This window comes from Homo sapiens, chromosome 4 (assembly GCF_000001405.40).
Source record: "Homo sapiens chromosome 4, GRCh38.p14 Primary Assembly".
Lineage (NCBI taxonomy): Eukaryota > Metazoa > Chordata > Mammalia > Primates > Hominidae > Homo > Homo sapiens.
Genome location: NC_000004.12, coordinates 154,579,664 through 154,591,197, shown reverse-complemented (window position 1 = coordinate 154,591,197; position 11,534 = coordinate 154,579,664). Strand labels below are relative to the sequence as shown.

General features: G+C 38.7%; 1 protein-coding gene across 2 annotated transcripts; it reads left to right on the top strand.

Moving 5' to 3' along the window:
- Nucleotides 456-8,072, top strand: FGA (fibrinogen alpha chain). Of its 2 annotated transcripts, NM_000508.5 has the most exons (6): nt 456-564; nt 1,636-1,761; nt 2,222-2,405; nt 3,541-3,686; nt 4,280-5,660; nt 6,365-8,072. In NM_000508.5, exons 1-6 carry the CDS (start codon nt 511-513, stop codon nt 7,072-7,074), a joined length of 2,601 nt encoding a protein of 866 aa, NP_000499.1. In that variant the 5' UTR covers nt 456-510; the 3' UTR covers nt 7,075-8,072. The 2 variants fall into 2 exon arrangements, with proteins under 2 accessions (NP_000499.1, NP_068657.1); NM_021871.4 differs by lacking the exon at nt 6,365-8,072 and having other exon boundaries at nt 4,280-5,923.

Below are 11,534 nucleotides of genomic sequence, written 5' to 3'. Positions count from 1 at the left end.
AATAAACTTATAGAAAGCCTTCAGGGCCAGCTTATCCCCAAAGTTATTTTTTTTATAAGCCAGATCACCCAACCCTAATTTCTGCATAAAGTGAAATATTGTTTGCTAAATCACTACTACTGGGGGCTACAGCTAGCTTACCTAAGCACCTTCTATATTCTTTCACGTTTAGAAATATGGATATACCCTCCTATGCTCCTCTTTTCATTCTCAAAGCCACCCTGTTCCTGGAATGTGAGATCTCCTAATTGTTGACTGGAGAATCAAATGCTACCTTTGCAACAGCTTATCGGAAGCAAACAAGCTGAGGGGAATTGAGCAAGAATTTCTGGGATACCAACAGCATAGGAGGAACAAAGGACGTAGAGGGAGGGTTGACTGTCTACACAGGACAAAGCCAATGATTAACCAAACCTCTTGCAGATTTAAATAGGATGGGAACTAGGAGTGGCAGCAATCCTTTCTTTCAGCTGGAGTGCTCCTCAGGAGCCAGCCCCACCCTTAGAAAAGATGTTTTCCATGAGGATCGTCTGCCTGGTCCTAAGTGTGGTGGGCACAGCATGGGTATGGCCCTTTTCATTTTTTCTTCTTGCTTTCTCTCTGGTGTTTATTCCACAAAGAGCCTGGAGGTCAGAGTCTACCTGCTCTATGTCCTGACACACTCTTAGCTTTATGACCCCAGGCCTGGGAGGAAATTTCCTGGGTGGGCTTGACACCTCAAGAATACAGGGTAATATGACACCAAGAGGAAGATCTTAGATGGATGAGAGTGTACAAACTCACAAGGGAAACTTTAGCATCTGTCATTCAGTCTTACCACATTTTGTTTTGTTTTGTTTTAAAAAGGGCAAGAATTATTTGCCATCCTTGTACCTATAAAGCCTTGGTGCATTATAATGCTAGTTAATGGAATAAAACATTTTATGGTAAGATTTGTTTTCTTTAGTTATTAATTTCTTGCTACTTGTCCATAATAAGCAGAACTTTTAGTGTTAGTACAGTTTTGCTGAAAGGTTATTGTTGTGTTTGTCAAGACAGAAGAAAAAGCAAACGAATTATCTTTGGAAATATCTTTGCAGTATCAGAAGAGATTAGTTAGTAAGGCAATACGCTTTTCCGCAGTAATGGTATTCTTTTAAATTATGAATCCATCTCTAAAGGTTACATAGAAACTTGAAGGAGAGAGGAACATTCAGTTAAGATAGTCTAGGTTTTTCTACTGAAGCAGCAATTACAGGAGAAAGAGCTCTACAGTAGTTTTCAACTTTCTGTCTGCAGTCATTAGTAAAAATGAAAAGGTAAAATTTAACTGATTTTATAGATTCAAATAATTTTCCTTTTAGGATGGATTCTTTAAAACTCCTAATATTTATCAAATGCTTATTTAAGTGTCACACACAGTTAAGAAATTTGTACACCTTGTCTCCTTTAATTCTCATAACAACTCCATAAAATGGGTCCTAGGATTTCCATTTGAAGATAAGAAACCTGAAGCTTGCCGAAGCCCTGTGTCTGCTCTCCTTAATCTCTGTGAGAGTGCCATCTCTTCCTGGGGACTTGTAGGCATGCCACTGTCTCCTCTTCTGGCTAACATTGCTGTTGCTCTCTTTTGTGTATGTGAATGAATCTTTAAAGACTGCAGATAGTGGTGAAGGTGACTTTCTAGCTGAAGGAGGAGGCGTGCGTGGCCCAAGGGTTGTGGAAAGACATCAATCTGCCTGCAAAGATTCAGACTGGCCCTTCTGCTCTGATGAAGACTGGGTAAGCAGTCAGCGGGGGAAGCAGGAGATTCCTTCCCTCTGATGCTAGAGGGGCTCACAGGCTGACCTGATTGGTCCCAGAAACTTTTTTAAATAGAAAATAATTGAATAGTTACCTACATAGCAAATAAAGAAAAGGAACCTACTCCCAAGAGCACTGTTTATTTACCTCCCCAACTCTGGATCATTAGTGGGTGAACAGACAGGATTTCAGTTGCATGCTCAGGCAAAACCAGGCTCCTGAGTATTGTGGCCTCAATTTCCTGGCACCTAATTTATGGCTAAGTGGACCCTCATTCCAGAGTTTCTCTGCGACCTCTAACTAGTCCTCTTACCTACTTTTAAGCCAACTTATCTGGAAGAGATAGGGTAGGAAGAAATGGGGGCTGCATGGAAACATGCAAAATTATTCTGAATCTGAGAGATAGATCCTTACTGTAATTTTCTCCCTTCACTTTCAGAACTACAAATGCCCTTCTGGCTGCAGGATGAAAGGGTTGATTGATGAAGTCAATCAAGATTTTACAAACAGAATAAATAAGCTCAAAAATTCACTATTTGAATATCAGAAGAACAATAAGGATTCTCATTCGTTGACCACTAATATAATGGAAATTTTGAGAGGCGATTTTTCCTCAGCCAATAGTAAGTATTACATATTTACTGCTTTGACTTTATAACAGAAACAACAAAAATCCTAAATAAATATGATATCCGCTTATATCTATGACAATTTCATCCCAAAGTACTTAGTGTAGAAACACATACCTTCATAATATCCCTGAAAATTTTAAGAGGGAGCTTTTGTTTTCGTTATTTTTTCAAAGTAAAAGATGTTAACTGAGATTGTTTAAGGTCACAAAATAAGTCAGAATTTTGGATTAAAAACAAGAATTTAAATGTGTTCTTTTCAACAGTATATACTGAAAGTAGGATGGGTCAGACTCTTTGAGTTGATATTTTTGTTTCTGCTTTGTAAAGGTGAAAACTGAGAGGTCAAGGAACTTGTTCAAAGACACAGAGCTGGGAATTCAACTCCCAGACTCCACTGAGCTGATTAGGTAGATTTTTAAATTTAAAATATAGGGTCAAGCTACGTCATTCTCACAGTCTACTCATTAGGGTTAGGAAACATTGCATTCACTCTGGGCATGGACAGCGAGTCTAGGGAGTCCTCAGTTTCTCAAGTTTTGCTTTGCCTTTTTACACCTTCACAAACACTTGACATTTAAAATCAGTGATGCAACACTAGCTGGCAAGTGAGTGATCCTGTTGACCCAAAACAGCTTAGGAACCATTTCAAATCTATAGATTAAAAAGAAAAGCTCATCAGTAAGAAAATCCAATATGTTCAAGTCCCTTGATTAAGGATGTTATAAAATAATTGAAATGCAATCAAACCAACTATTTTAACTCCAAATTACACCTTTAAAATTCCAAAGAAAGTTCTTCTTCTATATTTCTTTGGGATTACTAATTGCTATTAGGACATCTTAACTGGCATTCATGGAAGGCTGCAGGGCATAACATTATCCAAAAGTCAAATGCCCCATAGGTTTTGAACTCACAGATTAAACTGTAACCAAAATAAAATTAGGCATATTTACAAGCTAGTTTCTTTCTTTCTTTTTTCTCTTTCTTTCTTTCTTTCTTTCTTTCTTTCTTTCTTTCTTTCTTTCTTTCTTTCTTTCTCCTTCCTTCCTTTCTTCCTTTCTTTTTTGCTGGCAATTACAGACAAATCACTCAGCAGCTACTTCAATAACCATATTTTCGATTTCAGACCGTGATAATACCTACAACCGAGTGTCAGAGGATCTGAGAAGCAGAATTGAAGTCCTGAAGCGCAAAGTCATAGAAAAAGTACAGCATATCCAGCTTCTGCAGAAAAATGTTAGAGCTCAGTTGGTTGATATGAAACGACTGGAGGTAAGTATGTGGCTGTGGTCCCAGATGTCCTTGTTTCTGAGTAGAGGGAAAAGGAAGGCGATAGTTATGCACTGAGTGTCTACTATATGCAGAGAAAAGTGTTATATCCATCATCTACCTAAAAGTAGGTATTATTTTCCTCACTCCACAGTTGAAGAAAAAAAATTCAGAGATATTAAGTAAATTTTCCAACGGTACATAGATAGTAAATTTCAAAAGCAAATGTTCAGTCCCTGTCTAATTCCAAAGCCCATTACATCACCACACCTCTGAGCCCTCAGCCTGAGTTTCACCAAGGATCATTTAATTAGCGTTTCCTTTGAGAGGGAATAGCACCTTACTCTTGATCCATTCTGAGGCTAAGATGAATTAAACAGCATCCATTGCTTATCCTGGCTAGCCCTGCAATACCCAACATCTCTTCCACTGAGGGTGCTCGATAGGCAGAAAACAGAGAATATTAAGTGGTAGGTCTCCGAGTCAAAAAAAATGAAACCAGTTTCCAGAAGGAAAATTAACTACCAGGAACTCAATAGACGTAGTTTATGTATTTGTATCTACATTTTCTCTTTATTTTTCTCCCCTCTCTCTAGGTGGACATTGATATTAAGATCCGATCTTGTCGAGGGTCATGCAGTAGGGCTTTAGCTCGTGAAGTAGATCTGAAGGACTATGAAGATCAGCAGAAGCAACTTGAACAGGTCATTGCCAAAGACTTACTTCCCTCTAGAGATAGGCAACACTTACCACTGATAAAAATGAAACCAGTTCCAGACTTGGTTCCCGGAAATTTTAAGAGCCAGCTTCAGAAGGTACCCCCAGAGTGGAAGGCATTAACAGACATGCCGCAGATGAGAATGGAGTTAGAGAGACCTGGTGGAAATGAGATTACTCGAGGAGGCTCCACCTCTTATGGAACCGGATCAGAGACGGAAAGCCCCAGGAACCCTAGCAGTGCTGGAAGCTGGAACTCTGGGAGCTCTGGACCTGGAAGTACTGGAAACCGAAACCCTGGGAGCTCTGGGACTGGAGGGACTGCAACCTGGAAACCTGGGAGCTCTGGACCTGGAAGTACTGGAAGCTGGAACTCTGGGAGCTCTGGAACTGGAAGTACTGGAAACCAAAACCCTGGGAGCCCTAGACCTGGTAGTACCGGAACCTGGAATCCTGGCAGCTCTGAACGCGGAAGTGCTGGGCACTGGACCTCTGAGAGCTCTGTATCTGGTAGTACTGGACAATGGCACTCTGAATCTGGAAGTTTTAGGCCAGATAGCCCAGGCTCTGGGAACGCGAGGCCTAACAACCCAGACTGGGGCACATTTGAAGAGGTGTCAGGAAATGTAAGTCCAGGGACAAGGAGAGAGTACCACACAGAAAAACTGGTCACTTCTAAAGGAGATAAAGAGCTCAGGACTGGTAAAGAGAAGGTCACCTCTGGTAGCACAACCACCACGCGTCGTTCATGCTCTAAAACCGTTACTAAGACTGTTATTGGTCCTGATGGTCACAAAGAAGTTACCAAAGAAGTGGTGACCTCCGAAGATGGTTCTGACTGTCCCGAGGCAATGGATTTAGGCACATTGTCTGGCATAGGTACTCTGGATGGGTTCCGCCATAGGCACCCTGATGAAGCTGCCTTCTTCGACACTGCCTCAACTGGAAAAACATTCCCAGGTTTCTTCTCACCTATGTTAGGAGAGTTTGTCAGTGAGACTGAGTCTAGGGGCTCAGAATCTGGCATCTTCACAAATACAAAGGAATCCAGTTCTCATCACCCTGGGATAGCTGAATTCCCTTCCCGTGGTAAATCTTCAAGTTACAGCAAACAATTTACTAGTAGCACGAGTTACAACAGAGGAGACTCCACATTTGAAAGCAAGAGCTATAAAATGGCAGATGAGGCCGGAAGTGAAGCCGATCATGAAGGAACACATAGCACCAAGAGAGGCCATGCTAAATCTCGCCCTGTCAGAGGTATCCACACTTCTCCTTTGGGGAAGCCTTCCCTGTCCCCCTAGACTAAGTTAAATATTTCTGCACAGTGTTCCCATGGCCCCTTGCATTTCCTTCTTAACTCTCTGTTACACGTCATTGAAACTACACTTTTTTGGTCTGTTTTTGTGCTAGACTGTAAGTTCCTTGGGGGCAGGGCCTTTGTCTGTCTCATCTCTGTATTCCCAAATGCCTAACAGTACAGAGCCATGACTCAATAAATACATGTTAAATGGATGAATGAATTCCTCTGAAACTCTATTTGAGCTTATTTAGTCAAATTCTTTCACTATTCAAAGTGTGTGCTATTAGAATTGTCACCCAACTGATTAATCACATTTTTAGTATGTGTCTCAGTTGACATTTAGGTCAGGCTAAATACAAGTTGTGTTAGTATTAAGTGATGCTTAGCTACCTGTACTGGTTACTTGCTATTAGTTTGTGCAAGTAAAATTCCAAATACATTTGAGGAAAATCCCCTTTGCAATTTGTAGGTATAAATAACCGCTTATTTGCATAAGTTCTATCCCACTGTAAGTGCATCCTTTCCCTATGGAGGGAAGGAAAGGAGGAAGAAAGAAAGGAAGGGAAAGAAACAGTATTTGCCTTATTTAATCTGAGCCGTGCCTATCTTTGTAAAGTTAAATGAGAATAACTTCTTCCAACCAGCTTAATTTTTTTTTTAGACTGTGATGATGTCCTCCAAACACATCCTTCAGGTACCCAAAGTGGCATTTTCAATATCAAGCTACCGGGATCCAGTAAGATTTTTTCTGTTTATTGCGATCAAGAGACCAGTTTGGGAGGATGGCTTTTGATCCAGCAAAGAATGGATGGATCACTGAATTTTAACCGGACCTGGCAAGACTACAAGAGAGGTTTCGGCAGCCTGAATGACGAGGGGGAAGGAGAATTCTGGCTAGGCAATGACTACCTCCACTTACTAACCCAAAGGGGCTCTGTTCTTAGGGTTGAATTAGAGGACTGGGCTGGGAATGAAGCTTATGCAGAATATCACTTCCGGGTAGGCTCTGAGGCTGAAGGCTATGCCCTCCAAGTCTCCTCCTATGAAGGCACTGCGGGTGATGCTCTGATTGAGGGTTCCGTAGAGGAAGGGGCAGAGTACACCTCTCACAACAACATGCAGTTCAGCACCTTTGACAGGGATGCAGACCAGTGGGAAGAGAACTGTGCAGAAGTCTATGGGGGAGGCTGGTGGTATAATAACTGCCAAGCAGCCAATCTCAATGGAATCTACTACCCTGGGGGCTCCTATGACCCAAGGAATAACAGTCCTTATGAGATTGAGAATGGAGTGGTCTGGGTTTCCTTTAGAGGGGCAGATTATTCCCTCAGGGCTGTTCGCATGAAAATTAGGCCCCTTGTGACCCAATAGGCTGAAGAAGTGGGAATGGGAGCACTCTGTCTTCTTTGCTAGAGAAGTGGAGAGAAAATACAAAAGGTAAAGCAGTTGAGATTCTCTACAACCTAAAAAATTCCTAGGTGCTATTTTCTTATCCTTTGTACTGTAGCTAAATGTACCTGAGACATATTAGTCTTTGAAAAATAAAGTTATGTAAGGTTTTTTTTATCTTTAAATAGCTCTGTGGGTTTTAACATTTTTATAAAGATATACCAAGGGCCATTCAGTACATCAGGAAAGTGGCAGACAGAAGCTTCTCTCTGCAACCTTGAAGACTATTGGTTTGAGAACTTCTCTTCCCATACCACCCAAAATCATAATGCCATTGGAAAGCAAAAAGTTGTTTTATCCATTTGATTTGAATTGTTTTAAGCCAATATTTTAAGGTAAAACTCACTGAATCTAACCATAGCTGACCTTTGTAGTAGAATTTACAACTTATAATTACAATGCACAATTTATAATTACAATATGTATTTATGTCTTTTGCTATGGAGCAAATCCAGGAAGGCAAGAGAAACATTCTTTCCTAAATATAAATGAAAATCTATCCTTTAAACTCTTCCACTAGACGTTGTAATGCACACTTATTTTTTTCCCAAGGAGTAACCAATTTCTTTCTAAAACACATTTAAAATTTTAAAACTATTTATGAATATTAAAAAAAGACATAATTCACACATTAATAAACAATCTCCCAAGTATTGATTTAACTTCATTTTTCTAATAATCATAAACTATATTCTGTGACATGCTAATTATTATTAAATGTAAGTCGTTAGTTCGAAAGCCTCTCACTAAGTATGATCTATGCTATATTCAAAATTCAACCCATTTACTTTGGTCAATATTTGATCTAAGTTGCATCTTTAATCCTGGTGGTCTTGCCTTCTGATTTTTAATTTGTATCCTTTTCTATTAAGATATATTTGTCATTTTCTCTTGAATATGTATTAAAATATCCCAAGCAATCCAGTATACCACCCTTTCTTACATAGCTTCTATTCTGATATAACTGCATTATCCCTCAAAGAAGGAAGGAGAGAGGGAGGGAAGGAGAGGAGAAGAGAGGGAGGAGGAAAAAGAGGCTACAGCTAGGGGCCAGAGCCTGGGGATCAAAGGGGAAATAACCTTGCAAATGCATCACAGATGAACCCCAGAGTTCTTGCATTTCTTTATGGGGAATTGTAAATCTCTGATACAAACTAAACGCTATACCTTCAAATGGTTGGATACTTGGACAAGAACTTCTTCAGAATCAAATGAAGCTTCACTTCTTTCAGACATCAGAACTTCATGCTATCTCTATCCCCACTCTACTTACACTCACACGTATTGCCTTGACAGAATTTGAGTTGAGACTAGAAAATATTTTGTTTTCCAGAATAGCATACTATGTAGGAATATAAATGGTTCCTGGAATGAAAGTGATTATGAACGGGAAGGGCCATTCATTTCTAGTTATTCAGAAGATTTTGAGTTTATCAAAGGATTAGATAAACCTCTTTTAATTTAATAAATGGTAGCCAATATTAGCAGGATCATGAGAATTGGAGATACAATTTGGTTGTCAGAAAAGACATGAAACATCTATTTTCCATTTCACCTTATCTTTAGGTGAAATTTTTTCTGAAATTATTTCATTTTTTCTGAAATTAAATATTAATTTAGCTCCCTGACTCTTATTCACTCAGAAGCCCATTTCAACTTGGTTTTCATGCAATTACCACACTCTTGAAATTGATCTCAAATCAACACAACTTTGCAATTGTAAATTAAATGTGCTGCATTCAAGCCTCTTTCTACTTCTCTCTTTTAAACATCTGCTACTTATTTTGCCCTTATCCTGCCTCTTGGGCCTGTCCTTTTGTCTTGGTTTCTATACCATTTCTTCCCGTCTTACTCTTTTCAGTGTTTTTAACTGGTAATTTCTTCTCTGACCACTTCTTAAATGTAGGGGTTTCTCATTGCATTTACATTGGTACTCATCTTTATCATTTGGGATTAGGTTTGGTACATCTGACTTCAACAAGGCAGAAATTCATTTCCTGCTCACAAAAAAGCCTATGTAGGAGTATGTCCACATAGTCTTCAGAAAGCCGTCATTTTAATAAAAGACTTCTATCCCTTGGTTCAACTTGTAATCCAAATATCATGTCCTCTGGCAATCTGGAAGAAGGAGAAAAGAAAGAAGGGCAAAGGAGTACCTTCTCCTTTTAAGGAACTTTCTTGAGTGTTCTAAACAGCACTTCTGCTTATATTAGCCACAACTTAGTCACATAGATAAGCTCAGTTGCAGGAGAAGCTGAGTCAAGTTGACTATTAGCTTGGGTACAAGACTATCCTAACTAAAATCAGGATTCTGCTAATAAGGAAAAGAGGGAGAATAGATAAGGAAGTCTGCAATTACCAGTCTTGGCCAAACATTTTCTCGCTCTTCTCTTTCTCCTTGATTGATCTGACAATCACCATAGCTTCAACTACAATCAGTGGCCTTAAGCAGGAGGCAGACATTAAGATTAAGTTAAAACTTCTTAGCTTGGAATATAAACTCTTTCAAAAATTGGTCCATTTTCAACCTCTGCAATCATTCATTCTACACATTAGTTACACTGAATTTCTCACTGGCACTGAAATACCAGGTCCTTTAATGATTTGGGGCCTTTTCACAAACTACCTAGAAGACACCCATTCACTCCTTTAAAAACAGCTCAATGCTGCTTCTGTGAACCCTTCCCCAGTGCCCATCATAGAATGAATTGAATTGTCCTCTAGGTCCTCACTGTTTTTGTTCTTATCTCAAAAATAGCATATTCTATCCCTACCTCTAACATATTTATATTATTTGTGGCACTAGGTTATGAACTCCTTTGGGACAGAGCTCATTTATATGGTGCATCCTGTCCTACACAAAATGTTTCCCCATTCTAAGATTATACAGTATTTCAAATACTTCCTTAAATTTTTAAATGTTTTTTATTTTTCCTGTTTTTTCTTTTGCATGTATATATTTAACCTAGAATTTATTTTAATATGTCATGAAGAAAATCTACTTTTATCTTCTTGTGAATGGGTAGCCAGTTATACTGGGATCCTTTAATAAAGAAAGCATTCGTTGTCCATAGAATTAAAATGCCAACTTTTTTCTATAAGATTTTCTTGGGATCTATATCTAAACTCTCTCCTGTGCTTACACCTCCTTGCTCACATTTCAAGTACAGAGTTTGGAAGACGTAGTCTCCATCCTATTCCCCATTTTTTTTCCTTTTTTTTTTAGTCTGTAAAATTGTACTTTTAATTTTTATTTATTTTGTTGTTCTGGGACTACTTAGAGAAGTTTTTCTTAATTTCCAGTTTTCTCGTCTTAAAACCCAATTTGTTATTTTTTCAGGGGGTTAGAGTGAGTCATCTTTCAATCATTAGTTTTCAAGTATTTTATAAATTTTGTTAATTTAACCAACTGTTTCATTCTAAGCATTTTAGATTTTCTTAATTAATTGATTAATTAATTTTATTGCAGTGGTACAATCATGGCTCATTACAGCCTCTACCTCCTGGGCTCAAGCAATTCTCCCATCTCAGCCTCCTGAGGAGCTGGGACTACAGTCACACACCACCTCGTCCAGCTAATTTTTTCATTTTTTGTAGAGACAGAGTCTTGCTATGTTGCCCAGGCTGATCTTGAACTCCTGGCCTCAAGCAATCCTCCTGTCTCTGTCTCCCAAAGTATAGAATTTTTAAGGTTTTCTTTGTGAACAAGTTGCGTTAACTTTTGCAAATGTTTCATAGGTGAAAAGAATGTATATTATCACACCCATATGTTATAATATTCCATATTACCAAGCCTATTGATGGTGTTATTTAAATATCCTATATCTTTTCCTTTTTATGTATCTTTTTGTAAGAGACAGAGTCTCACTCTGTTGTTACCTAGGGTGGAAGAGTGCAGTGGTGCAATCATAGCTCACTGGAGGCTCAAACTCCTGGCCTCTTGCCTTGGCCTCCCAAAGCACTGGGATTATAGTTATGAGATTTTCATCATGTTTTTGTGTGTGTGTGTATAAAAAGACCTCACTCTGTGGTTCTGTGCATGTGTGTGGTCTCTGCATTTTAGGAATTCTGTTTCATAAGGTTGGCTCCTTCCTTATACAGTGCATGAAAGTTTATGACTGTTATATCTTCTTCACAAATTGTACTTTCTATCATTACATAATGTTTCTCTTTTTTTTTCCATTTCTCCTTTTGGAATTAAATTCCTTCTGGTGAAATAGCAACATTGTCATCACTTTTGATTTTCTTTTCTTTGAATTTGCCTACATATCTTGACATGTCATTTCATTTTCAACATACTTTTTGTCACTTTGTTTGGAAGACTTTCCCAAAATAACAGATGAATTTTTAAACATGATTTTATTTTACCATTGTTTTCCCTT

What these genes read in the sequence shown, in the direction of transcription:
- FGA (NM_000508.5), top strand. Translation starts at nt 511, where the DNA reads ATGTTTTCCATGAGGATCGTCTGCCTGGTCCTAAGTGTGGTGGGCACA. An exon ending in GTGTGGTGGGCACAGCATGG is followed by an intron (nt 565 to 1,635) that starts GTATGGCCCTTT and finishes GAATCTTTAAAG; the next exon opens with ACTGCAGATAGTGGTGAAGG. An exon ending in CGATTTTTCCTCAGCCAATA is followed by an intron (nt 2,406 to 3,540) that starts GTAAGTATTACA and finishes TTTCGATTTCAG; the next exon opens with ACCGTGATAATACCTACAAC.